Source organism: Homo sapiens, chromosome 11 (assembly GCF_000001405.40).
Source record: "Homo sapiens chromosome 11, GRCh38.p14 Primary Assembly".
NCBI classification, from domain to species: domain Eukaryota; kingdom Metazoa; phylum Chordata; class Mammalia; order Primates; family Hominidae; genus Homo; species Homo sapiens.
In genome coordinates, this window is record NC_000011.10 from 64,845,246 (window position 1) to 64,870,299 (window position 25,054).

General features: G+C 55.8%; 1 protein-coding gene across 3 annotated transcripts in view, besides 16 other annotated features; it reads right to left on the reverse strand.

Moving 5' to 3' along the window:
- Window positions 1,904-1,993: a silencer, noted in NCBI's record as "silent region_3495". NCBI's record gives its function as "represses an Ori minimal core promoter by ATAC-STARR-seq in GM12878 lymphoblastoid cells {active_cell/tissue: GM12878}" and the evidence as "EXISTENCE:reporter gene assay evidence [ECO:0000049][PMID:35858748]".
- Window positions 2,294-2,363: an enhancer, noted in NCBI's record as "active region_4919". NCBI's record gives its function as "activates an Ori minimal core promoter by ATAC-STARR-seq in GM12878 lymphoblastoid cells {active_cell/tissue: GM12878}" and the evidence as "EXISTENCE:reporter gene assay evidence [ECO:0000049][PMID:35858748]".
- The window catches only part of EHD1 (EH domain containing 1), a 28,052-nt gene continuing 9,394 nt past the window's right edge, over window positions 6,397-25,054 (reverse strand). For all 3 annotated transcript variants that reach the window (NM_001282445.2, NM_001282444.2, NM_006795.4), the window contains 3 exons: window positions 14,679-15,091; window positions 10,077-10,241; window positions 6,397-9,612 (listed from right to left, as the gene is read on the reverse strand). In NM_001282445.2, coding sequence (NP_001269374.1) covers window positions 9,088-9,612; window positions 10,077-10,241; window positions 14,679-15,091 — 1,103 coding nt within the window. In that variant the 3' untranslated portion in view covers window positions 6,397-9,087. The remainder of the gene's footprint in view (window positions 9,613-10,076; window positions 10,242-14,678; window positions 15,092-25,054) is intronic.
- Window positions 6,420-6,469: an enhancer, noted in NCBI's record as "active region_4920". NCBI's record gives its function as "activates an Ori minimal core promoter by ATAC-STARR-seq in GM12878 lymphoblastoid cells {active_cell/tissue: GM12878}" and the evidence as "EXISTENCE:reporter gene assay evidence [ECO:0000049][PMID:35858748]".
- Window positions 6,640-6,769: an enhancer, noted in NCBI's record as "active region_4921". NCBI's record gives its function as "activates an Ori minimal core promoter by ATAC-STARR-seq in GM12878 lymphoblastoid cells {active_cell/tissue: GM12878}" and the evidence as "EXISTENCE:reporter gene assay evidence [ECO:0000049][PMID:35858748]".
- Window positions 8,087-9,085: an enhancer, noted in NCBI's record as "H3K27ac-H3K4me1 hESC enhancer chr11:64620804-64621802 (GRCh37/hg19 assembly coordinates)". NCBI's record gives its function as "activates a minimal SCP1, AML or CMV promoter by ChIP-STARR-seq in naive H9 embryonic stem cells {active_cell/tissue: H9 hESC(naive)}" and the evidence as "EXISTENCE:reporter gene assay evidence [ECO:0000049][PMID:30033119]".
- Window positions 8,430-8,489: a silencer, noted in NCBI's record as "silent region_3496". NCBI's record gives its function as "represses an Ori minimal core promoter by ATAC-STARR-seq in GM12878 lymphoblastoid cells {active_cell/tissue: GM12878}" and the evidence as "EXISTENCE:reporter gene assay evidence [ECO:0000049][PMID:35858748]".
- Window positions 9,086-10,084: an enhancer, noted in NCBI's record as "H3K27ac-H3K4me1 hESC enhancer chr11:64621803-64622801 (GRCh37/hg19 assembly coordinates)". NCBI's record gives its function as "activates a minimal SCP1, AML or CMV promoter by ChIP-STARR-seq in naive H9 embryonic stem cells {active_cell/tissue: H9 hESC(naive)}" and the evidence as "EXISTENCE:reporter gene assay evidence [ECO:0000049][PMID:30033119]".
- Window positions 9,086-10,531: a biological region, named in NCBI's record as "P300/CBP strongly-dependent group 1 enhancer GRCh37_chr11:64622049-64623248".
- Window positions 9,332-10,531: an enhancer, noted in NCBI's record as "P300/CBP strongly-dependent group 1 enhancer chr11:64622049-64623248 (GRCh37/hg19 assembly coordinates)". NCBI's record gives its function as "activates an origin of replication core promoter dependent on BRD2, BRD4, P300/CBP, MED14 and CDK7 cofactors, with strong dependence on P300/CBP, by STARR-seq in HCT116 cells {active_cell/tissue: HCT116}" and the evidence as "EXISTENCE:reporter gene assay evidence [ECO:0000049][PMID:35650434]".
- Window positions 9,773-9,832: an enhancer, noted in NCBI's record as "active region_4922". NCBI's record gives its function as "activates an Ori minimal core promoter by ATAC-STARR-seq in GM12878 lymphoblastoid cells {active_cell/tissue: GM12878}" and the evidence as "EXISTENCE:reporter gene assay evidence [ECO:0000049][PMID:35858748]".
- Window positions 13,702-13,771: an enhancer, noted in NCBI's record as "active region_4923". NCBI's record gives its function as "activates an Ori minimal core promoter by ATAC-STARR-seq in GM12878 lymphoblastoid cells {active_cell/tissue: GM12878}" and the evidence as "EXISTENCE:reporter gene assay evidence [ECO:0000049][PMID:35858748]".
- Window positions 15,984-16,033: an enhancer, noted in NCBI's record as "active region_4924". NCBI's record gives its function as "activates an Ori minimal core promoter by ATAC-STARR-seq in GM12878 lymphoblastoid cells {active_cell/tissue: GM12878}" and the evidence as "EXISTENCE:reporter gene assay evidence [ECO:0000049][PMID:35858748]".
- Window positions 16,164-16,293: an enhancer, noted in NCBI's record as "active region_4925". NCBI's record gives its function as "activates an Ori minimal core promoter by ATAC-STARR-seq in GM12878 lymphoblastoid cells {active_cell/tissue: GM12878}" and the evidence as "EXISTENCE:reporter gene assay evidence [ECO:0000049][PMID:35858748]".
- Window positions 18,152-18,963: an enhancer, noted in NCBI's record as "H3K27ac-H3K4me1 hESC enhancer chr11:64630869-64631680 (GRCh37/hg19 assembly coordinates)". NCBI's record gives its function as "activates a minimal SCP1, AML or CMV promoter by ChIP-STARR-seq in naive H9 embryonic stem cells {active_cell/tissue: H9 hESC(naive)}" and the evidence as "EXISTENCE:reporter gene assay evidence [ECO:0000049][PMID:30033119]".
- Window positions 20,577-20,876: an enhancer, noted in NCBI's record as "active region_4926". NCBI's record gives its function as "activates an Ori minimal core promoter by ATAC-STARR-seq in GM12878 lymphoblastoid cells {active_cell/tissue: GM12878}" and the evidence as "EXISTENCE:reporter gene assay evidence [ECO:0000049][PMID:35858748]".
- Window positions 24,269-24,698: an enhancer, noted in NCBI's record as "active region_4927". NCBI's record gives its function as "activates an Ori minimal core promoter by ATAC-STARR-seq in GM12878 lymphoblastoid cells {active_cell/tissue: GM12878}" and the evidence as "EXISTENCE:reporter gene assay evidence [ECO:0000049][PMID:35858748]".

Here is a 25,054-nt window from a genome sequence, read left to right on the forward strand (position 1 = left end):
CGCCCATTTGGCAGATGGACACACTGAGGCTTGGGAAGGAGGAAGGCGAATTGAGGGGCTGAGGACAAGGTGGCTCTTAAGTTAGACCCTGGGGTGGAGGTGGAGCTGGGCTGGTACCAACACCACAGGCGTTTTAAGCTTCAGTAGGAGCAGGGCCTGAGGTCTGACCTGGAACGTGAAGGGCAAGGAGAGGTCTGAGATAGGCTGGAGGAGGTTGGGGAGGGGAGGGGCTGGCTCTGTCCAGTGGTATTTCTGATTTCTGTCCAGCTGGGATGGACCAGGCACCATGAGGAGAGATCAAAGGGTGGGACATATTGGTGGCTTCAGACAACACTTTTTTTTTTTTTTTTTTGAGACAGGGTCTCTCTGTCACCCATGCTGGAGTGCAGTGATGCAATCATAACTCACTGCAGCCTTGACCTCTTAGGCTCCTGCCTCAGCCTCTTGAGTAGCTGGGATTACAGGCAGATGCCACCACACCCAGCTGATTTTTTATTTTACTTTTTGGAGTCAAGGGTTATTGTTATGTTGACCAGGCTGGTCTCGAACTCCTGGGCTCAGGTAATCCTCCCACCTTGGCCTCCCGGAGTTCTGGGATTACAGACATGGGCAACTACACCCGGCCTAGACAACACTTCTTTCTCTTTTTTGAGACAGGGTCTCACTCTGTCCCCTAGGCTGGAGTGCAGTGGTGCAATCGTAGCTCACCACAGCCTCAACCTCCTGGGTTCAAGTGATCCTCCCACCTCAGCCTCCCGAATAGCTGAGACTACAGGCTCACACCACTAGGCCAGGCTGATGTTTTGTTTTTTGAGATGGTGTCTCACGCTGTCACCCAGGCCAGAGTGCAGTGGCACGATCTCGGCTCACTGCAACCTCTGCCTCCCAGGTTCAAGAGAGTCTCCTGCCTCAGCCTCCCAAGTAGCTGGGATTATAGGCATGTGCCACCACACCCAGCTAATTTTTGTATTTTTAGTAGAGATAGGGTTTTGCCATGTTGGCCAGGCTGATCTCAAACTCCTGACTTCAGGTGATCCTTCTGCCTCGGCCTCCCAAAGTGCTGGGATTACATGCGTGAGTCACTGGGCCCAGCCATGTTTGTATTTTTTATAGAGATGGGGTTTCGCCATGTTGCCTAGGCTGATCTCAAACTCCTGGACTCAAGTGATCTGCCTGCCTCAGCCTCCCAAAGCGCTGGGATTACAGGCTGTAGCCACTGGCCAACACATTATTTCATTAAAAGACCTGTTTAGGGGTTTGCCTCTCCTCTCGTACTGGGACCTCGCTGAGATGGGGGCAGGATCAGGTTGAGGGAGGAGGTGTTCCATGAATGTTTGAAGCAAACAGGGTGTTTCTCCCCACGAAGGGTTTTTCATGTGATTATTTGTTTATTTATTTATTTATTTTAAAGAGACAGGGTTGCACTATATTGCCACGTTGGCCAAGCTGGTCTGACCTCAGGTGATCCGCCCACCTCGGCCTCCCAAAGTGCTGGGATTACAGGCATGAGCCACCATACCCAGCCTTTTTTTGAGACAGGGTCTTGCTCTGTCACCCAGGCTGGAGTGCAGTGATGCAATCTCAGCTCACTGCAGCCTCAACATACTGGGCTCAAGTGATCCTCCCACCTCAGCCTCCTGAGTAGCTGGGACCGCAAGCCTGCACCACCACGCCTGGTTAATTTTTAATTTTTTTTTTAGAGCTGGGGTCTCTCTACATTGCCCGGGGCTGGTCTCAGACTCGCCCTGCCTCCCATGTGATCTCCCCAGAGGCCCGCCCTGTAGCTACGCAGGGCCCATGGGCTGAGAAATGTTTGGGGAAACAGAGTCTGGGTGTATTACCTAAATCAACCAGAATGGGATGGGGAGCCAGGATTCAAACCAAACTCTGGGGATCCCCTTCATTGCCTCTGGTCTCCTGGAAGGGGGAGGGGGCAGGAGTTCAGATCCCTCTCACCTGAGAGATTCTGAGCCCTCCTTATAGGGGCGGGGCAGGGGTGGAGCCCACAGGAGGTAGGAAGGGGCTTGCTCACTGAGGCCACACGGGGGCGCCAGAGACCAGAGGAGGGACAGGCGCTCCAGCCAGCATTAGGGAACCGGAGATAGGGAAGGGCTCCTGGGTGGGAAGATGGGCCTCTCCTCCGCTGCCCCTCGTGGACACCCCTGGTGAGGCCTCTGGGCCCTGCCTCACTCCCTGTGTGACCTCAGGCAAGTCCCTTAACCTCTCTGGTAAGTTCTCAGAAAGGTTCATCCCCAGCCATCTGTCCATCCCCACACAGTATAGCTGAGTGGACACTGAGTCCCAGGGCTGAGGCCAGGGCTGCACGGGGCAGGGCTGGGACTGGCATTCGGCACCTCCCGCCTCTCACACGTGATTCTTTCTGGTCCTTTATTAGTTTTTGTCACATCTGTCTTGTAAGCCTCAATTTCCTTGTCTGTAAAAGGGGGTTGGGTCCGGGCATGGTGGCTCATGCCTGTAAGCCCAGCATTTTGGGAGGCCGAGGTGGGAGGATCACTTGAGCCCAGAAGTTCAAGATCAGCCTGGGTGACATAGTGAGACCTCATCTCTACAAACGAACTTAAAAATTAGCTGAGTGTGGTGGTGAGAGCCTGTAGTTCCAGCTACTCGGGAGGCCAAGGTGGGCGGATCACTTGAGCCCAGGAATTCAAGACCAGCCTGGTCAACATGGCAAAACCCTGTCTCTACTAAAAATACAAAAATTAGCCTGGAATGGTGACACACACCTGCAGTCCCAGCTACTCGGGAGGCTGAGAAAGGAGAATCACTTGAACCTGGGAGGCAGAGCTTGCAGTGAGCTGAGATTGTGCCACTGCACTCCAGCCTAGGTGACAGAATGAGACCATGTCTCCAAAATAAATAAATAAATAAAAATAAAGGGGGAGGGTTGGGCCCCCTGCTCATTCCTTTGCAGCTCCAATGGAAGGAAGTCTGTAAAGGCTCAGTCTCTTTCTGAGCTTATTCCAGCCTTAGCAAGCAGCCAGGCCTCCAGCCCTGACTGCCCGAAGCAGCTCCAGGGCATGGCACCATGTTGGCTCAGCAGATCTGTTTTCTGATCCTGTGGGGCCAGACCACTAGGGCCACAGCAGCCTTGACACGCTCCCCACAGAGCCCTGAGCATGGCACAGCCCAAGGCCCAGCTCACAGGGATGGGTGAGTCTTGACAGGAGACACCCCCGAGAGCCTCAGTCACACCCTGTCCAGGCAGTCAGGCCACCCTCTTTCCTTTCCTTCTCACCAGGGTACCTTCATTCAAATGCCTCCTCCATGGTCGACTACTCCCCAGGTGCAGGAGGGCTCAGCTACCCCCCGCAGCCTCTCACTCATCCCGCAAGCCCCTTGGTACTGAGGGACATCACTAGCTCTCTCACCCAGCTCTGTGGGGAGCACTCATGCTGATAACAGCTTGCAAGTGTAAGGGGCCTCTTGGTAACTTAAAGTGACTTTAGATCTATTATCTTCACAAGGGCCACACTAGGAGAGAGTTATTACCCTCCTTTATAGACTAATGCATGGAAGCTGGGGAGGGAGGTGGTGCCAGCCTTGAGCTCCTTCCTTGAGTGCAGACTCGCCCTGCAGAGGGCAGGTGTGTTGGGGCAGGGAGAGGACCTGAGAACCCAGCATGAGGAAGTGGCAGGGAACCCTGTGTCTGCCCCCAAGGGCATAGCCCTCTGTGGCTGGGAGCCCAGACACAAGGCAGGTTGCCCAGGTCTGTGGCATCCTGGCCACATTGGAGGGCTGCTGAGCCCAGGGTTGGAGCGCCCCCTTCCTCAAAGTCCTGAGAATCAGCCTTCAGGGGAAGGCCTAGGATGAGAGTCTCCAGCCGTGGCCTCGGGAAGCAGCTCCCACCAGATGGTTCTTCAGGGCTGGCAGGAATGGCGGCCGCCCCCTGCCCTTAGCCACTCTGGAAACGTGCACATGGCATAGTGGCCCGCTCCTACCCAGGAGGTCAGGACATGAGAGGCTGGCCTTGGGTCCTGCAGCCCTGCCCGCTGCTGACCAGGCGTGGGGCCTTGGGTAGATCTCTTCCTCACTCTCTGGACGCTGTCTTTTTGTGTATAATGGAGAACTGCACCTGTTCAGGTGTGAGAGACAAATGAGCTTCCCAGTATGGCCACCAATGGCCGTCCCAACCTTTCTCTGAAGGAGCACGGGCGGCAATGTGATTGGAGCCGGGGAGCTCCCTAAGCCCACCCTTGAGCCTCAGATGCCTGGCTCTTATTTGAAGGTGCGTCTGTTGGGATGGCTTTGGGAAGGAGCTGATGCAAATGCTAGGGGTGTGGACCCCCCAGTCCCCCAGCTAGTCCTGGCAGCCCCCTCCCCAACCCCATCTGCCCAGCACCAGGGGCGTGTCCTATGAAAAGTCCAAAGCTCCAAATGGGTGGACATATGGTGGTTTCATCATCCTGGTTTTTCTTCCAAAAACCTTCCCTGCAGTGTTCCAACAAGCCATAGGGGCTCCCACGCTCTGCAGCGGCTGCAGCCCCATGTGGTTTTACAATTATCAGTCCCTCTGGGTGCACAGGAAGCCAGGCCCGAGCCCACTTGGCCACCACCTCACTAGCCTACAGGCGCCACTGAGTCTGGGAGCTGCTTCAGGGAAGGGAGGGGCTGGCCTGTTTTGTTCTGGGTATTGGGTGAGGTGCCCTGCTCCCTGCACCCCACCCGACTAACCTCCTTGGGGTGCTTGGCAAAGGCCGCTCAAGGTGGGTGTCCTCGGGCTCTGCCTCTGTGGGCCACATCTGTTCCTGAATTAAGGCTTGAGGAAATGGCCTCAGTGGGGGAAGAGATCTGGCTAGAGTGGCAGAGCTGGGAGTTGAACTCAGGGCGGTCTCCCCAAGGCTGCCCTCCACGTGCTGCCAGACCTGGTGCGCTTTTAACACAGGAGTGGTGGCCGGATGTTCTCACCTCCCAACTCTCACCACCTTGCTGGCCGTGGCCGGGCAAGTCCTATGACTAGCCCATTTGATTTATTTTATGTATTTATTTTTGAGACGTAGTCTTGCTCTGACGCCCAGGCTGCAGTGCGATGGTGCGATCTTGGCTCACTGCAAACTCTGCCTCCTGGGTTCAAGCGATTCTTGTGCCTTGGCCTCCCAAGTAGCTGGCATTATAGGCGAGAGCCAGCACATCTGGCTAATTTTTGTATTTTTAGTAGAGACAGGGTTTCACCGTATTGGCCAGGCTGGTCTCAAACTCCTGACCTTATGTGATCCACTCTCCTCGGCCTCTCAAATTGCTGAGATTACAGATGTGAGCCACCGTACCCGGCCATTATTTATTTTTTACTGGTCTATTCTTCTAGAACACCCATTTGAGATAAGAACAGGGCACTGACTGGATTTGTGGTTAACTTCTTTTCTAAGGAGAAGAAATGTTTATTTAAAAAAAATTTTTTTTAAATAGAGACAGTGTCTCACTGTGTTGCCCAGGCTGGAGTACAGTGATGCCATCATAGCTCACTGCAGCCTCAAACTCCCAGGCTCAAGTGAACCTTCCACCTCAGCCTCTCAAGTAGCTGGGACTACCCACAGACACCCATCACCACTCTTGGCTAATTTTTGTTTTGGTAGAGATGGTGTGGGGGCGGGGGGGGGGGCGGGTCTCACTATGTTGCCCAGGCTGGTCTTGAACTCCCGGCCTCACACGACCCCACCTCACCCCCAACCTTGGTCTCCCAAAGTGCTGGGATTATAGGTGTGAACCAAACCCAGCCAGAAATGTTTATTCTGAATGAGATCTTACAAGGAACTGCAACATAGAAAACAGCTGTGCATGGCCAGAGGCAGTGGGCGGGCCCTTTGCCTCTTGGGTCCTGGGCTGTGAGGTGCTGCGTGGGCGACAGATTGCCCTGAAGGCCTCAGTCCACGGGCTCTGGTAGCTGGGTGGCAATGCCCCTCCTTTGCCCCAGGCCAGCCTCTGAAGAGGAGGCTTCTTCCCCAGGGTCATGGCCAGCTATGGATCTAGGGAGGAGGCGAGGGCTGGGACTAGCCCTCTAGGTGGGCGGCCACATCTCTGACCACATCCTCTGGTCCTCCCTGAACCCCGGTCGGAGCCCAAAGATGATCCCCAACCTGTAGAACCGAAACCAGGGCTATGAACTCTGGGGCAGACACCTGCCCTCAGCCCCTTTCAAGCCTCAGATCAGCAGGCGCTTCCTGGGGCAGCCCCAGGGGGTTCACAGCCCCTCTGTGGCCACACAGAGCCCTGCAGGTGGAGTGCTCCGGGAAGGAGAGCGGGCGGCCAGGCAGCACTTCCCTTCCTCCTAGTTCAGGGGCACTGCTAAGTTCTGTGCCTTCTCTAATGTGCTCACAGCTTGAACAAAAATGCTCCACCTCCCTTGGGTGACCCCTGCCCCAAGCTTTCAGGACCCCAGGCTGGAGTGACAGCATTTAACCTTTAATGTGGGTCTCTCAGCCCTGAGTACAGCTGCAGTCTAAGGGTGGGGTTGGGGGGATCTACCGTTTTTTCCTCTTAGTGTGTGCTTTGGATTAGTAACCTGATGGAAAGCACGCTGGAGTTGGACGGCCTGGTTTGCATCTGCTTCTACCACCTTTGTTATTTCGGCAGTCCTCAGTCTCGGACTCTCCCTCTGTGAAATGGGGGAACATGAACTTCCTCAGATCGTGACAGCGCAGCTCCACCTGGCACAGGGTGAATGCCCACAGGTGGCAGCTGAGTGACGCAGGGAGGGCCGGCCAGCCCTGCAGCAACTGAAGCATCCACTGGCACCTCAAGTGCTGGTCATAGGACCAGACACCACCACACCAGCTAGGCTCGGAGCACACAACTGGGTCCCTGAAACCCTCAGGAACTTGTTTCTGTCCTGCCTTCTGCCAGAGGGGCTGGAGCAGCCTCTACCCATGGCACCTCAAGTCTGCACCCTTTTATGAAGGGTCACTAATCAGTCACCCTTCCCTCTGCTGGTATAAACAGTCCCCCATCTGTGACATCACCTGGGCCTGACTGGCCCCACCCTTAGTTGCATGTTTGTCACAGGCTATCTGCTTTGTCTTCAGAGGCCCGGCTTCCCTGTACTTAAACCGTCCTTGGGGCTAGCAAGGAGCCAGTCTGGCTCCAAAGCCCAGAAACCCTTGTTTACTTGATGCCACCCAGTGCCGAGGGCCTGCAGGTGCCCACTCATCCGTCTGTGGCTGAGGGGTGCCAGCCTAGGCCTCAGCTATCAACATCCTCCCAACTGTTTCCCCCCTCCCCACCCCAAGTGAACTGCTCAGCTCCCACCTTGCTCAGGGAAGGGGGCATCACCCCAGAAACCCTTTTCCCTACAGGCCTGGCCCTCTTAGTAGGAGGGGGCAGCTACTGCCCAGCAGAGCAGGACTGGGCAGGGTTGGTCACCTTGCCCCGGCTGCCTTGCCACTCTGTCCCTGCTGGCATCACCCCCTCAGACACCAGGGGAGGATGGCCCAGGACTGCTGCCCCTGGAAAAGACAAGGAAGCACCCGAAGCTTTCGCACAGTTCAGACTTTTTAATGCAAGGAGAAAGTCTTCACTTCTCTTCCCACAGGTGTGAACAAGCCACTGCAACTTCAACAGTGACTTCCCGGCAAGGACAGCGCCCGCATCCATCCTCACCTAATACTGTATGGAGTGACGGGCTAAGGAGAACAAGGCCAGTTCCTGCAGACTCCGAGCAGCGCTGGGGAGAAGCTCCCTGAGACCCCCGCGGGAAAGCCTGGTGGGAAGCCCAGCTGTGTGGTACCTGGTGCTCCACCTGCCTTGGTGCCATCACAGCCCGGACAGTGGCCACTGGCCTGCAAACGCGCCCGGGCCCTGGAGGCTGGGCTCAATGGCCCCAGGCAGAGGAGGGGGAGGCGGCCTGAACTGGCCCGGGCCACTGGGCCGCAAGGTTCTGGTTTCTTATTGCTCAACCTGGGGGCCAGGGGCGTTGTAAGGACATCCAAGTGAGCTGCCCTCCTTTGCTAAACAGAGGAGGAAGGAAGGTAGGAAATGAAGGGGGATTACAGAAGGGGCTGGGTTTTCCCCTGGTCCCCGCTGTCTGGACATGAGAGCCTAGCCAGAACCACGGGCTTCCTCTTACCAGCACCAAGCTGTCGTGAGGCCCCGCCACCGCCACCCACCACCACCTCCCACTGTGGAGGGTGCGTCCCAAAGCTCCAGTTAAGTGAGAGGGTAGGGCAGGAGCTGGGATGACCACCCTTCCTCAGCCAGGAAATGCAACACTGGGGTCCAGGAACGGGGTGCTCCCCGGGTACCCACACCTAATGCCCCCTGGGCAGGGCTGCTCCTTGGCTGGAGGGTGGGAAGGGGAGACAAAAATCACAGCTTTTGAACAGTGGTTGGGAAGTTATTGGGAACTTTGGTCAAGTATGAAAGATATCACTTTACAGAACAGAAACTAGCTTATGTATTTTTCTGGAAGACATTCTCCTACTCCCCTGAACTCCCAAAAAAAGACCAAGGTGGCTGGGCCCTGCTTCTGTGACTGCTGAGCGGGGTTGCGCGTCGGAGCCGGTGGGGCGCGGGAGGAAAGGGCAGGGCCCGCGCACGGGGAGCCTGGGCCCGGGAGGGGAAGGCACAAGAACCCACTTCGCCCGAGAGCACGGGGGAGGCAGAGCCAGGTGAGGAAGGAAGCCACGGTCCCGTGAAGCAACCTCAGCTCAGAAGCACACGGAGGGTGCCTGGTGTTCCTGTCCATGCAGCCTCAGCCTAGCAGCTGCCAAAAGGGCGACCTGGCTCCCCCACGGTCGCAGTCGCTGCACTGTCCAGCTCCAGCCACAGCAAAGGCCGGGGGGCAGAGGCCGTGCACACAGGGCTGGCACACAGGGGAGGCGGCGACAAAGAACGCAGCCTCTAACGTTATATATTAAAATAGCCACAGTTCTTGTGCACACAATTCCATCCTCTCACCCCTGCCTCCCCCGCCAGGCCCAGGAACAGCCTTAAAAGAAAGATGGTGGTTTTCCTTTTCGAGAGGCGAGGAAACATCCGCTCAGTCTTTATGGACCTTGAGAAATGGTGAGGCTTCCCCTCCCCCCGTCTCTGCCTCCCGGCCGGGCGTGCAAATGGCAGGTGCGGGGCCGGGCGCCATCACTCATGTCTGCGCTTGGAGGGCGGCACCAGGTGCGGGGGCAGGTCGGCGGGCAGCTCGTGGCCCTCCAGCTTGACCTTGATGAGGTGGTTGGCCAGCGCGAACTCCTCGTCGTCCAGCAGCCCGTCCTTGTCCACGTCGGCCAGCTTCCAGATCTTCCCTAGCACGGTGTTGGGGAGCTTGGACTTCACCATCTCCTTCTTGGCGTTGGCGCCCGTGATCTTGCCGTTGACAGGGGACAGCGTGTAGAAGATCTCGTCGTAGGTGGGCTTGTCCTTGCCCACCACCCACTCCACGTCGTCGATGCCCTCGCCGGCCCCCTCGCCGTAGCCGTGCCCGAACGGCCCGTTCATGGTGCCGTCAAAGGCGCCGCCCTTGACCACCTGGGAAGGCATCAGGGACTCCTCCTGCCGCACCATCACCATCAGCCGCGCGATGTCGTTGGCCAGCATGTCATCCACCGTGTCCAGCAGCTTGGGCTTCAGCGCCTGGAACTTGCTGAAGTCCTGGGTCTGCAGGAGTTCCTGTGGGCGGGGGAGGAAGGACAAGGGCTGGGAAGGGAGGCCCCTCCCAGACTCCAGGCCAAGTGGTTCCAGTCAGGGCTTCACAAGCATAAAGTGCTGCTCCCCCACACTAGCAGGGGCGACTCGGCAAAACCATCTGGCCCTTGGCTCTCTAACCTGTACACAGGAGGCACCTCCAGCTCTTTCCTTGCAGGGCTGCGGCAAGGATTCATGGACAGGGCACCAGAGCGCCTGGCATGGCCCTGCCCTCCCCCCACCACGCAGGGTGAGTCACCACATTCCCCTCTGCAGTGTCACCGCCTGGGTCAACTCTGAGTTGGGTGGGGTGCTGGTGATTAACCCAGCTGCTTCCGTTCAGGGAGGCCCTTCCCCATGGAGATGGGATTCCCTCCAAATCCAGTGCCCTGGGCCTTCCTTCTGCCCTGATGGCCACCAGCCTGCATGGGGCCTCGGGACAGCCGTACCTGCATCTTGCGGAGGCTCGGGAAGTCCCCAGGGGAGATCTGGTGCTCGCGCTCAATCTTCTGGTAGATCTCTCCGAGGTTGTTCACCAGCTCTTTCTTTTTGCTCTCTTTACCAAAGACATTGGGCATCTCTTTCTTGAGGGAGCTGATGATGTAGGCGTGAACCTGTGAGGACGGGGTGAGCATCAGGCGCTCTCTTGGCCCAGGCTGCCCCCGAGAGCAGAGCCTCCAAGGACACTCCAAGGATACTCCAAGGTGCTCGCTCAGGAACAGGGAAGCAGGAGGGATGGGTCAAGCTCAAGGCCGCTACCACCACCGGCTCCCACAGTCCTAGGAGCAGACACAATCTGGCAAGAGCCACAGCTGTCCACTGCCACAGGACAGAGGACAGGACAGGAAAACGCACTTGAAACAGAAGACAACAGCCTTGGCCTTGCACGGATCATTGTGATGATTCAGGAAGAGTAAAACCCAGTCTGTCAACCCAAAGAAGGCAATTTGTCGTGTACCACTGGGCACATCACACACCCTCTGTTCAACCCTCACCACGCATCACACACCCTCCGCTCAACCCTCACCACGCATCACACACCCTCCGCTCAACCCTCACCACGCATCACACACCCTCCGCTCAACCCTCACCACGCATCACACACCCTCCGCTCAACCCTCACCACGCATCACACACCCTCCGCTCAACCCTCACCACACACCCTCCGTTCAACCCTCACCACAGCCCTGCGGGGTGGGATTCTCCCAACCCGGCCCTAAGCAAGGCTGGGAAAGGCTGCCTGGGGTGCTTGGCTCCCACATGGAGGAGCTGGGATTGGAACCCCGGGCTGCTGAAGGTGCCCCACAGCCCATGTTCTTCTGTTTCTCTGCAAGCCCCCTTCCCCCGAGCTGCCCCCTCCCACGCAGCAGAGCAGGGAGCAGGCTTCCTGCAGGGCCCACCAGCCTGCACGTCCAAATCCCTGCTGAGTGCCGATGGAGCCCACAGAACTCCAATGGGCCCGTGCCACGCTCCACTCCATCATCACAGCTCGGATGACGAAGGATTTGAAAAATCCCAAAAAGGCTTCTCCTGGTGGTTGCCAGCTTTATCCAAGCATCAATACCTTGCTTAGGCATGTGCCTGTTCAGGGCGGCACCCCCTTCATTTCCCTGCAGCAAGCTGGGAACCTGGCAGCCCTCGAGAGTAGCCCAGCCCTCAGATCCCTCGGCCTTGCCAAGTCGTGTCCAGCCACAGAGGGCTGCGGCCAGCCAGCCTTGCTGCCCTTCTCCCCGGCTCCAGCCCATCCACCACCCCGCTCAGCCTGAGCCTGTGCCCTGGGTGGGGGCCTGGCTGAGAACTGCCTGAGGGAGGCAGCCCCGTGCCATGTGGGTCTGGATCTAGAGTCTCCCCAGGGACACTGTGGCAGGCAGATCCCAGGCCGGTGGGAGTCATCACAGAGAGCACCACTCACTCCAGGAAAAGGAAGTGGCAGGTGTGAGGCAACACTGGAGGCCACAGGGTTTTCCAGGCGCGGTGACTCAGTGTGCCTGGGGCCTGGCAGTCACACATGGTCTCACAGACGACCAGGCAGGGGCTCATGCCTGCCCCTTGTCCTGTCTGTCCTCAAAGGTGGCTGAGCAAGGGAGCTCTCTCTGCCCTGCAAGGAGAGAAACTCAGCTAGGGCCACACCCACACCCCTCAGCTCAGGACGTCCTTTGTCCTTTGAGGCCAGGGTCAGTCACCTGGGTTTTTGTATGGGTTCCTCTCTCAAAGCTGGCTCCACTCACAGGGAGGCTCCAGAAGGGAGAGATCTAGAAAAACATCCAGCCAGCCGGGCGCGGTGGCTCACGCCTGTAATCCCAGCATTTTGGGAGGCCGAGGCAGGCGGATCACCTAAAGTCAGGAGTTCGAGACCAGCCTGATCAACATGGTGAAACCCCGTCTCTACTAAAATATAAAAATTAGCTGGGTGTGGTGACGGGCGCCTGCAATCCCAGCTACTCAGGAGGCTGAGGCAGGAGAATGGCTTGAGCCTGGGAAGCGGAGGTTGCAGTGAGCCGAGATTGCGCCACTGCACTCCAGCCTAGGTAACAGAGTGAAACTCCATCTCCAAAAAAATCAAAAAATAAAATAATAAAATTAAAAATAAGAAAAACACGCAGCCCTCTGTCCTCCAGAGCCGGCATCTGACCCACGCCCGTGCACACAGCTCACGGAGGTTCAGGCCAGAATGAGAATTCCTCATCTACAGGGTGAGGTGGGGCCCAGGGTACTTGGGGCACAATGGGAGGACAGTGGTGGCAAAGGATGAAGGGTCAGTTCTCACTGCTCAGACCAGGTAGCACCCACATGCCCTCTGACTGGCCTCCAGACAGAGTGGGTACGAGGGCCACTGTGCTCAACGCCTGCAGTCTCCATGCCTCTGAGCAGGCAGGGACATGGGCTCCCCAGGAAGTGCCCATCCTCAGTCCTCAGTTATATTCTGGAGATCAGGGGACTGTGACCCTGGCCACAGGCACATCTGTCACTGAAGCCTTCATGCCCACATGATGTCTACCCTGGTACCCCCTGCATGCCATGAGGTGGGGGCAAGCACCCTGCTCTGTTGAAGAACTGGGGACGTATCACCAAAGGGCCTGGCTTGGCAGGCAGGACAGTTCCCCAGCCACGCTCCGGCCTGGCTGGCCTGGAGATAGGAGCTACGGCAAGGGCCTTTTTTTTTTTTTTTTTTTTTAAATTAAATAGAGACAGGGTCTCACTAGGTTGCTCAGGCTGGTCTCTAACTCCTGGCCTTAAGGGATCCTCCTGCTTTGGCCTCCCAAAGTGCTGGGATTACAGGCGTGAGCCACCATGCCTGGCCAGAGCCTATTTCTTTTCTTTTTTTTTGAGACAGAGTCTTGCTCTGCCACCTGGGATGGAGTGCAGTGGTGTGATCTCAGCTCACTGCAACCTCTCCCTCCTGGGTTCAAGTGATTCTCCTGTCTCAGCCTCCCAAGTAGCTGGGATTACAGGCACGCACCACCACGCCCGGCTAATTTTTGTATTTTTTTTAGTAGAGATGGGGTTTTGCCATGTTGGCCAGGCTGGTCTCGAACTCCTGACCTCAGGTGATGCGCCCACCCACCTTGGCCTCCCAAAGTGCTGGAATTACAGGATGAGCCACCATGCCTGGCTGGAGCCTATTTCTGAAACAACCGAGCCCTGTGCTAAGAGCCTGAAAGAATAGCTAGGTGCCCTGCTGATACAAATGTGGGCTTGGTCACTTCTCAGCTGTTCAGACAATCTGTGTCAAACACTCCTGTCCACGGGGTCAACCCCAACCACAGCCGGGACTGTCACTCATGGTGACTCGTCTAGGCTGGCTCACGATAGGGTGCTATCCAAAGTCAGACACGCCAAGGGCATGTGTTCTGTCATTCTGTGTTGGAAGGGCCCGCTGGTGGCATTAACCTTTGTTTCCTGGCCCCACCCACACCGGCTCTCACTCAAGTACTTGGTCAGCCACTGAGATTCCAAACCCTTTGGCCATTCAGAGGCTGCTGATAGGTGCCACCAGGCCTGGGCTGCCAGGAGACCTAAGGATGGTCTGCAAGGCCTGCTGAACTGACACTGCCTCAGCGTGACCTTGGCTTCCATGCACAGTGCTCCCCGGGCTGCAGGCTGGCACCCTGTCTCCTCACGAGCTGCTTCCTGTCACAGCTTAAGCTTCAGCTCCTGCCAGGCCCCCCCAGCCCTTCTACTCCACTGGGACAGCCCCTAGCGCCAGCTCCCGCAGCAGCCTGTGCTCGCTCCGAGACGACACAAATAACTGATGTTTATTTTTTGTTTGCGTGCTCTGCTTTCCCCATGAAGGCTGAGGAGTGGACAGGGGCTGTGTGTCACTCCCCGCCAGTACCCGGCATCCAGCACTGTGCTGAGTGCACTTCAGGCTCAGTAAACCCCAGAGGGGTAATCCCAGCACTCTGGGAGGCTGAGGTGGGCAGATCACCTGAGATCAGGAGTTTGAGACCAGCCTGGCCAACATGGTGAAACCCTGTCTCTAATAAAAATACAAAAATCAGCTGGGCATAGTGGTGCGTGCCTGTGATCCCAGCTACTCGGGAGGCTGAGGTAGGAGAATCATTTGAACCTGGGAGGTGGAGGTTGCTATGAGCCGAGATCATGCCACTGCACTCCAGCTTGGGCAACAGAGCGAGTCTCCGCTTCAAAAACAAAAACAAAAACAAAAAACCCTAGAGGGAAGCCAACAAGCCTTAGAGCTCTATCCCCCAACACTCCATTTCTGAGGCTGCCTCCTTTGCTTCAGCGGTAACTTCCTGTGTGCTGTTTCTGTGTTGTAAGCACAGTCAAACCCTTCCTGAAAGTAGATGGGGTATAAACCACAAACAGAACAGGTTTAGAGGGAGGCCGGGTAGAGAATCTTAGTTAAGAGCAGGCTGCACGCGGGTGCTGACCAAAGACTGGTTTCTATAGAGGGAAACAGCGCAGTGCAGGTCTGCCTGTGAAGTGAGCTGGGAAGGGTCTCGGGCAATCCTGGGGCCCTGAGTGCCAGTCTCAGAGCCCCATGGCCCTGCCTGGCAATAGGCTGCTCCCCTCACCCCAGGGTCTACCTTGGCCAGCCGTGCCCGCTTGATCAGGTCATTGAGCTTCCTGAGGGCGGCGTTTCGGGGCAGTGACTGGATGTCCTTGAAGAGGTCCTGCTCCTCGGCCTCAAAGAGCTTGCGGTTGTCGGGGATGAGGAGCGGGTGGGACCAGAAGGAGCCGATGTAGACCCTGACCACCTCGGGGGTGTTGATGATCTTGCCCAGGGACCACATGAGGGCCCCGTACACCCGCATCAGCTGCTGCGTCTCGATCTGGTCTGCCTTGTTCAGCACCACGCGGATCTTGTCCTCATGGTTCTTCAGAGCCTTGATCACTTCCGAGAACTCATCGGAGATGTCCAGCTTGTGGGCGTCGAAGAGCAGGATGATGCGGTCCACACGCTCCGCGAACCACTCCAGGACGGCTGCAAAGTCATAGCCTGGGGGGAAGAGAAGGGAGAGCTCAGGGGCGCCAAGGGACCTGCTGCTCTGATGGCTCTCATCTCCAACCTGGCCTGGTATTTCTCAGCCTGAGATAGTTTTTAAAATTCCTATAGGCCGGGCGTGGTGGCTCACGCCTGTAATCCCAACACTTTGGGAGGCCAAGGTGGGAGGATCACGAGGTCATGAGTTTGAGGCCAGCCTGGCCAACATAGTGAAACCCTGTCTCCACTAAAAATACACAAATTAGCCGGGCAGGGTGGCGCGAGCACTCAGGAGGCTGAAGCAGGAGAATCGCTTGAACCCAGCAGGTGGAGGTTGTGGTGAGCCAAGCCCATGCCACCGCACTCTAGCCTGGGTAAGAAGAGCAAAACTGTCGCGAAAAAAAAAAAAAAAAGAAAAGGCCAGGCACAGTGGCTCACACCTGTAATCCCGACACTTTGGGAGGCTGAGGTGGGTGGATCACAAGGTCAGGAGTTCAAGACCAGCCTGGCCAACATAGTGAAGCCCTGTCTCTACTGAAAATACAAAAATTAGCCCGGCATGGTGGTGGGCACCTGTAATCCCAGTTACTCGAGAGGCTGAGGCAGGAGAATTGCTTGAACCTGGGCGGCAGAGGTTGCAGTGAGCTGAGATTGCGCCACTGCACTCCAGCCTGGGCAACAGTGTGAGACTCCATCTCAAAAAAAAAAAAAAAAAATAGCCGGGTGTGGTGGCACATGCCTGTAGTCCTAGCTACTCAGGAGGCTGATGCAGGAGAACTGCTTGAAACCAGGAGGCAGAGGTTGCAGTGAGCCGAGATTGTGCCACTGCAGTCCAGCCTGCGTGACACAGCGAGACTCCGTCTCAAAAAAAAAAAAAAAATTCCTAGGTGTTCATCTAGACAGCACAGCACCCTGAGGGCAGGATTATCTCCCCTATTCCTGCCCCCACCATAACACTCCCCAACCCATGTAGCACTTGGCATAAACAGGTGCTAATGCAAAGGTCGTCCCACAGTGCAAGCTCTAAGGTGGGTCAGAGGAGGGCGAGAGTGAGGAGGAGACCCAGCACTGTGCTCAGCACAGCACAGAGGGTAGAACATAGACTCCAGTGTTGCCACCTGCCTGCTGTATGCCCTGGGACGGTAGTGACAAGAGGCGCCTGCAAAAGTAACTGCAGCTGCTACTTTTTCAGTGCTGATGTGCCAGGCTCCCCATTTTGCAGGAATCTCACTTATTTTCTGCAACAAGGGTTGGCAAACTACAGCTCAGGGATCAAACCTGGCCCACCACCTGTTTGTATAAATAAAGTTTTATTGAAACACAGCCATGCTCATTTGTATTATCCATGGCTTCTTTTGTCTAACACAGCAGAGTTCAGTCGTTGTGACAGAAACTATAAGGTCTGCAAAGCTGGAAGTATTAACTATCCCACCCTTACAGAAAAAGTTTGCTGACCTCTGCTCTACAAGAAGCCCAGGAAGTGCTACGAACCACTTCCCCTTCCTGGGTCTTAAACACTTCTCCAAAACAAAGTGGTTGGACTGGACAGACTCCAGCTTTAAGCTCCATATTCTTTTTAAAAAAATTTTATATTCATTTTTTTAGAGACAGGGTTTTGCTCTGTCACCCAGGCTGGAGTGCAGTGGCACAATCTTCGCTCACTGCAACCTTGAACTCCTGGGCTCAAGCCATCCCCCCCACCTTAGACTCCTGAGTAGCTGGGACTACAGGCGTGTGCCACCATGTCTGGCTAATTTTTAAATTTTTATTTTGTAGAGATGGGGGTCTCACTATGTTGTCTATGCTGAACTGCTGGGCTCAGAGATTCTCCCGCCTTGGCCTCCCAAAGTGCTGGGGTGACAGGCCTGAGCCACCGCGCCTGGATTCTAAACTCTATTCTATATTGCTTCCCACCAACCCATTATGACCCAATTAAGGCCCACCAATTAAAGTGAATTCTGTCGCCTGTGGCAGAGACTGCTAATTGAAATTCCTCCTAAAGGAAGGAACCAGATATAACTATCCAGTTTCAGCTGGATTCATGGCCTCCCAGCTTCAGATTGCATTTCCCAGCCTCCTTCAGCAGAATGAACAAGAAAAGGTGCATGAGCCCTCTGTTGTTTTCTCCCTCCTGAGGACGGGGATGCTGATGTGATGGGAGGAGCTGGAGGAAGCACCTCGGGTTCAGAGATGAAAGCTGCATGTTCAGAATGGCCTTAGACTGTTGTTTTTCACATAAACTATTGGCTATCTGACTTAAGCCAATGATTTTTGGGTCTCTGTAACAGCGGTTTTGAATCCTATATGACAACTAGGCCTCTTCAACAGCAGTTTTGAATCCTATATGACAACTAGGCCTCTTCTAAATATTTCCACTTCAGCCTGGGCAACATAGCAAAATCCCGACTCTACAAAGGTGGTGCAGGCCTGTAGTCCCAGCTACTTGGGAGACTAAGGCAGGAGGATAACCTGAGCCCAGGAGGTTGAGGCTGCAGTGAGCCGTGATCATGCCACTGCATTCCAGCCTGGGCGACAGAGCGACACCCTGTCTCAAAAACAAAACAAAAGAAATCCTCACCTCTTCCTCTGCCCCTAGAGTAAAACTTCTGTCCCTCCCGGTCTAGGAAGAGTAAGGAGTGACAGGCGGGCCATGTGGAAACAAAGGCCTAGAATCCTTGGGGAGCTTGGGCCCCACCCCCGAGGGGCCACATCCTCTCTGCCTGATTCTGGGCAAGCCTCCACGTCCCTGGCTCAGTCTTCCCACAGGTCCCAGGCCACCCAAATGTAGGCCGGCCCTCTTCAGAAGCACCAAGTACTTCCCAGAGAGCAGTCAGGCTCCGGAAAAGAGCAGGAGAAGCCACTCCTGCACACAACAGTCTGAGAGTCGCACAGCTTGGGCCCAAACGAGTCCTCAGCCCACCACCTGCTCCTGGCATCTCCATGAAAAACACCACCCTCTTGCCAAGCTGGGGATGGAGATGGGCGCTCTCTAGACTGAGGGGGCAGAAAAACAGCAGCGAGGTGGGAGGTCCAAGGACAAAGCGTTAAGGAAAAGCAGCAGCTGGACAGGGTCGCCCACGGTGATGGGAGGGCAGCCCTGCCGTCCCCCAGTGGGAGCTGCTGCTGACTCCTCCACTACACGGGTTCCCCCTTGGTGGCATCCGCTGCTCCCACCCTGCAAAGCCCTCCAGGACAAAGGCAGGTCCACAGCCCAGGCTCCTGAGAGGCTGCCTCTACGCACAAGCACGCCAAGATAAATGGCACCACAGGGTGTGCGGAGTCAAGCTCGCTCATGGGATAAACACTCCTGCCGCCTGCCCCGGCCCCAGGCCCAAGCGTGCTTGGCGCCATCTGTGAGCCCAAAGCCACAGGGGCGCGGAGCCCCTCCCCACACCTGGCGCTCCCAGAAGGAACTCGGGCCACTAACTAAGATGGCTCTGCACTCCACTCCCGCCCCCTGCCACTGACTCTGTGACCTGAAGTTCTTTTCCTAACTTCTCAGTTACTTTCTCCATCTGTGAAATTTAAATACCAATTCCTCAGCCGGGCTGCAGGGAGGAGGGCGTGTGGGAGCACTGGGCCTCCAGCCCAGGACCCGACAGGGACAGCCTCCTTGGCAGGCTGGGGCAGGGGAAGCCAGGGCTCTGTGGGAACAAGGGGCCAGCGGCCTGGACCCATCACCGGTCAAGGACTTTCATCCTTGAGCAAAGTCACCAAAATGTAAGGAAAATCCCAAATCCACAGCTTCAGCCACACAGCCTCGGCAGCCTCTCCACAGGTGATGTGCGGCCGTTCCCTGCCCCAGCTCAACAGGAAATAGGGCACTCTGACCAGAAGCAGCCCCGAGGGCCAAGCTTCTTAACAGGGTAGCAGTGCAGGGGAGCCGGGGTCCTGGCCTCCAGCCTGGACGGGGAGGCCCGATCAGCCTTCCAGAGGCTCAGGTGGATGGTCGGAGACAGCAGAGCTGCCAGGTTCCCTGTGCCCAGAAGGTGTGGAAGGGCATCGTGCCAGGGCACCTCATGCCACCACAGGCTCCTGCTTCCAAAGTACAAGGCCCCGGGCACCCGGACTCCCTGCAGCTGGCTCTGAGCTCCACAGGAGAGGATGCCCAAAGAGTGAAGTCTCGGCAGAAAACCAGAAAGAGAGGCCAAGGGCAACATGAGGGAAACAGGGGCAGGGAGAGGCCGCCTCTGCCCCCGGGGGATGAGGCCACACTAGCTAAGCCTGCAGCGCCTGCCTGGGGCCCGCAGCCCACAGCCTTTTATGGCCAGCTCTGGGAACGCAGGTCAGTACTGAAAAGGCGATGACTCAAGGACTGAGGTTCCTCGCTCAGCAAAAAGGGGGCCCAGCTTCTCCCCTTGTCAAATCATTTGTCTTCAGCCCGCCACAAGCTGAAACTAGAATTCACACAGCTGGGGAGGCTGTGATGCCAAAACCGAGTTCTTGGGAATGAGGGCGCCCTGATGGGCTGTGCTCAGCCCATGTTAGCTTTGGCCTGGGAGTCAGGACGGCGCCTGGGGAGCTGAGGTCACCCTCCCAAACTCCACCCAGCAAGGCCCCACTCCCCCCTCCCCCTGGATGGCTGGGGGGCCCTGGGGAAAGAGAGAAAAAGGAGGGGAAGGAAGAAAGAAGAGTGAGCACTCCAAAACTCCCTGCCCCAGGTCCAGAAGCCCTGCCCCACCTGCTCTGAAACCCAGTTACTGGCCGTCATCTCAAGCTGGAGTCAACAGAGGTAAGCCCATTTCTTTGCAGGTGACTAAAATTTCCTGTTTATTACAGAAAATGTGCTTTTGCTGTGAGGGAAACACAGTGACTGGCCAGCCACACCCACAGGTGACAAAAAGGGCCACAGCACTCAGGCCTGTGCCATGCAGGCAGTGACCACGTAACTGCACGCCCCACCAGGCCCACCGGCGCTCCTTAGCCCACCAGGCCCTCGCTGCCCTCAAAGGCACCTCACTCAGCCTAAAAGACGCCGGGTTTCAAGAGGTGCCAAAGGCTACACTGCACAGCGGTAACACTGAGCCACTCTCTAGATCAGAGCTGGACGGCCGGTATCAAGTACAGAACAGGGCTTGCCAGCACCCCCGGCACTGCCCAAGGCAACAAGACTTCAGGCTTTGGCACCCACCAAGGTAGGGGCCTTGCTGTTAGCTTGACTAGCTCAGGCCCCAGTGGGAGTGACAGAACTGATGCCGAGCAAAAGGACACAGAAAACATGGCCCAAGCGGGTGGGCTGGAGAGAAAGGCCCACCTGCAGAGGGAGTGGTTTTAGTGAGTAAAAGCCAGAGCCCCCTCTGATAAGGGATCATAAGCCACCAGGAAGCTCTAGCTCAGAAAATCCTGGGACCTAGAAGACATGATGCTAAGTGATGAAATAAGTCTGTGACCTTTTCCAAAGATGACACACACGCGGCCAACGAGCATATGAAAAAACTCTCAGCATCACTAATCATTAGAGAAATGCAAATCAAACCACAATGAGACAACATCTCATAACAGTCAGAATGGCTATTATTAAAAAGTCTAAAAATAACAGATGCTGGTGAGGTTGCAGAGAAAAGGGAACATTTATACGCTGCTGGTGGGAATGTAAACCAGTTCAGCCACTGTGAAAAGCAGCTTGGCAATTTCTCAAAGAATTTAAAACAGAACTACCATTCGACTCAGCAATCACATTACTGGGCATAAACCCTAAGGAAGAGAAATCATTCTGCCATAAGGACACATGCACACATACGTCCATTGCAGCACTATTCACGATAGCAAAGATGGAATCCACCTAAATACCCATCAACAGTAGACTGGATAAAGAAAACATGGTACATATACCACAGAGAATACTATCCACCCATAAAAAGGAACAAGATCATGACCTTTGCAGCAACATGGATGGAGCTGGAGACCATTATCCTCAGCAAACTAACACTAGAATAGAAAACCAAATACCGCATGTTCCACACCAAATACCGCATGTTCTCACTCATCCATGGGTGTGAAACATTGAGTACACATGGCAACAAAGAAGAGAACAACAGACACCAGGGCCTACTTGAGGGTGGAATGGGTGAGGACAGAAAAACTGCCTAGCAGGCTGGGCATGGTGGCTCACGCTTGTAATCGCAGCACTCTGGGAGGCTGAGGCAGGAGGACTGCTTGAGTCCAGCCTGGGTAACATAGCGAGACCCCCCTCTACAAAAATTTAAAAAAATTTGGGTGTGGTGGCATGCATCTGTATTCCCAGCTACTTGGGACACTGAGGTAAGAGGATTGTTTGGGCCCGGGAGGTGGAGGCTACAGTGAGCTGTGATTGTGCCACTGCACTCCCAGCCTGGGTGACAGAGTGAGACCCTGTCTCCAAAAAAAAAAAAAGAAAAGAAAAACTACCTATCAGATACTACGCTTATTACCTGGGTGATGAAATAATCTATACACCAAACCCCACCACACTCCATTTACCTGTATAACAAACCTGTACATGTACTCCTGAACCTAAAAGTTTTTTTAAAACATCCTGCCACAAAAGGACAGATACGGCACTGTAGGATTCCACTGACAGGAGATACCAGGAGTAATCAAGTGCACAGAAAAGGAATATAGAATGGGGAGTGCAGGGGCTGCGGGGTGCAGGGAGCCACGAGGGGAGCTGGTGTTGAACAGGAAGAGTGTCCATTTGGGAAGTGAAGAGCTCTGGAGCTGGATGGTGGTGACGGCTGAACAATGAAGAATGTGCTAAATGCCAGTGAAATGCACACCTACAAATAGTTAAAATCTACTTTTCTGGGGTCCATGACCAAAAAACGTGGTTAAAATGAGGCCGGGCGCAGTGGCTCACACCTGTAATCCCAGTGCTTTGGGAGGCCAAGGCGGGCTGATCACCTGAGGTCAGGAGTTCGAGACCAGCCTGACCAACATGGTGAAACCCCATCTCCACTAAAAATACAAAAATTAGCCAGGGATGGTGCCACACGCCTGTAATCCCAGCTACCCAAGAGGCCGAGGCAGGAGAACTGCTGGAATTTGGGAGGCAGAGGCTGCAGTGAGCTGAGATCGCACCACTGCATTTCGGCCTGGGCAACAGAGCAAGACTCTGTCTCAAAAGAAAAAAAAAAAAAGGCTAAGCGCGGCGGCTTATGCCAGCAATCCCAGCACTTTGGGAGGCCGAGGTGGGCGAATCACCTGAGGTCAAGAGTTCGAGACCAGCCTGGTCAACATGGTGAAACCCTGTCTCTACTAAAAATACAAAAATTAGCTGGGCGTGGTGGCAGGCGCCTGTAATCCCAGCTACTTGGGAGGCTGAGGCAGGAGAATTGCTTGAACCCAGAGGCGGAGGTTGCAGTGGGCCGAGATTGATCGTGCCACTGTACTCCAGCCTGGGCAATGAGAGTAAAACTCCATCTCCGTACCCCCACCTCCAAAAAAAAGATTAAAATGGTAAATATTATATGTTAGGTGTATTTTATCACAATTTTTAAAAAGTGAAAACGAAAAGTCCTGGGGCTGTGGGATGAAAGAACAGAGTGGCTCCGGGCAACCAGGCTGAGCCAGGCATGGCACCTCAGGGTAGCGTGCACGCAGGTGCCTCTCATGGCGACCCGCGTCCCACCCAGCCTCCTCCAGGCCACTGCGGCTCTGGGGCGCCCCTCTCCAGGCGCTGGCCTTACAGGGTCTGCCTTCCTGAGAACAGCTGGACCATGTTTCCCGCCAGCACAGAAGGGGAAGAGGGAGGTTCTCAGGCCTCCCCGCCCTACCCCAGCAGCCTCCAAAACACAGGTAGTTCCAGCCGCAGGGGGAAAAGCTGCTTTATACATTCCAAAGATTTCTAGAACATGAAACATAGAGGGTTTGTCTCCAATCGACTTTTGTTTCCTGTCATTCAAGCTGCGTGGGCTTCAGTATTTCTCGCCCTAGCTCTCCATCACACAGGTTTCCAACGCGTGCTGGGCCTCGTTCCTGGGCTTGCTCAGGCTGAAGCTCCTCCGGAAGGGTTTTCCAGTGGAGCACAGAGGCGCCTCCGTTCCTCAGCATTTACCTGAGAGCAGCAGCAGCACACGCCCACACGAACCACGTACTTGACTCAAAACTGCCCCGGGTGGAACAACCCAAGCGCCCCAACAGGTGAATGGATGACAACGGATGGTGCATCCCTATGATGGGACAAGGACCCCCAACAAAGAGGAGCGGGCCACAGGGGCTCTCAAACACACAGATGCAGCTCAGAAGCATCCTGCTAAGTGAAGGTGGAAGCAAAAGGCTTCATCCTGTATGATTCCATTTAGGTGACATTCCGGAAAAGGCAAAAGTTAGAGACAAAGGTCAGTGGGCTGCCTGGGACCAGGAGTGACTATGAGGGGCACGGGAACTTTCAGGCGATGGGAATACTCTCTGTCATGGTGGCGGCAGCCCAGGAATGCTTTGTACAGCAGGGCACCTGAGGAGGGTGGACTTCACTACACACAACGTAGACCCCAGCAAATCAGACAGAAGCAACAAAAGAGGGGCGGGAGGGGGCAGAGGAACTCTGGAATCAGGCCCACATTTCCATCCTGAACCTTCTACTCAACAACGAGCTGTGTGACCCAGCAGGTCTCTGACCTCTCAGAGCCTCGGTTCCCAGCTTCTCAGTCTGTAACACGAAGATAGTAGGTTTCCAGCTTGGAGGGCCGCGGGAGGATGGAGTGAGCCTGGCACACTGCGAGCAGGAGTAAATGTTTGCTCTTATTTACTCGCAGGATTTGTATTTTGGGCTTAAGAAGCTCAGATTCTGATGGGTGTGTAGGCAAGGACTTCAAATGCATGAAGAATGCCTCATCCCCCAAATATAAACGGAATGTTTGCAGGCGCTCGGCCAGCTGCTCCCCAGCCCACCGCCAGTGCGCAGCCTGGGGAACAGGTGCTGAGCGCGGGCAGCGCCTGGTACGCCTCCTCTGTGGCAGAGCCTGCACGCCCCCAGCAGAGGCTGAGGCCAAAAGCTGTCTTGGCATCCTGGCCTGCTGGGCCACAGAGGGAGACCACAGCCAGGTGGGGCGAGCAGAGGGTTTTGGGAGGCCTGGAGCTGGGAGCAAAGGAGGGCCTGGAACCCAACGGGAAACCCCGGCTGAGTCAGCACTTCCCCGAGGATACTCCCCAGGATGTTACTCAGATCACCGTCTGGAAAGCCCTGGGCTTTTCAATCTCTTGACTATGAACCAGCTGACACTTGAACACTTAACTGTGCACCAGGCACTAGGGCAAGAGCTTAACATGTAAATTCTGGTAATCTACAATAACTGGAGAGGCTATGGTGTTTCCTGATGGACTGATGCAGCTCCCAGGGACTACAGCAACTCCCTAGAGCCACCCAGCTCCCCAAGTACTAACGTGGGACTTGAACCTTCTGATCTACTTGTGCTATGGATGCTGAATCCAAGAGGGACACAGCACCTGGCCTGGCTCATGGCCTTTGGGCAGCCCCTGGGAGCATTTGATGGTCTTCGGAGCACCCTGGTGAAACCTCAGCCTGGGGGTGCTGCTGGCAGCGGCATCTCCATCTCAGGAGGTGTCGGCAGGAAGTGGGGGCGGCCCACGGCGCAGGCCTGCCTCTGGGCCGGAGGGCTCAGGACACACAGGTGGGAGTGTGGGCAGGGAGGCCCCATCCAACCACTAAGGATCAGGACAGCTCCCAGGCTTAGAGGGAGCCTGCAGACCACCAGAGGGCAAACGAGAGCCCAGGCCACCAGGCTCCCTGGAGACCCCAAGGGATCATTTATGGCTGGGAACAGGGAACACAATACCAGCACTGCTGTTCAAAGCCCCAGACCTCAGGTCCATTTCAGGACTGGAGTCTAACCTTGGGTGGGAGAGAAACAGAGGGTGGCCTCTGTGTGTCTCAGGAGGGACACACATTACTGTGTGTCCACAGTAATGACCCAACAGGGGCAAAGGTCTGTCTGACCCAAGCTCCCGGCACTCCTTCGCCCACAGCCTTCATGCCAAGGC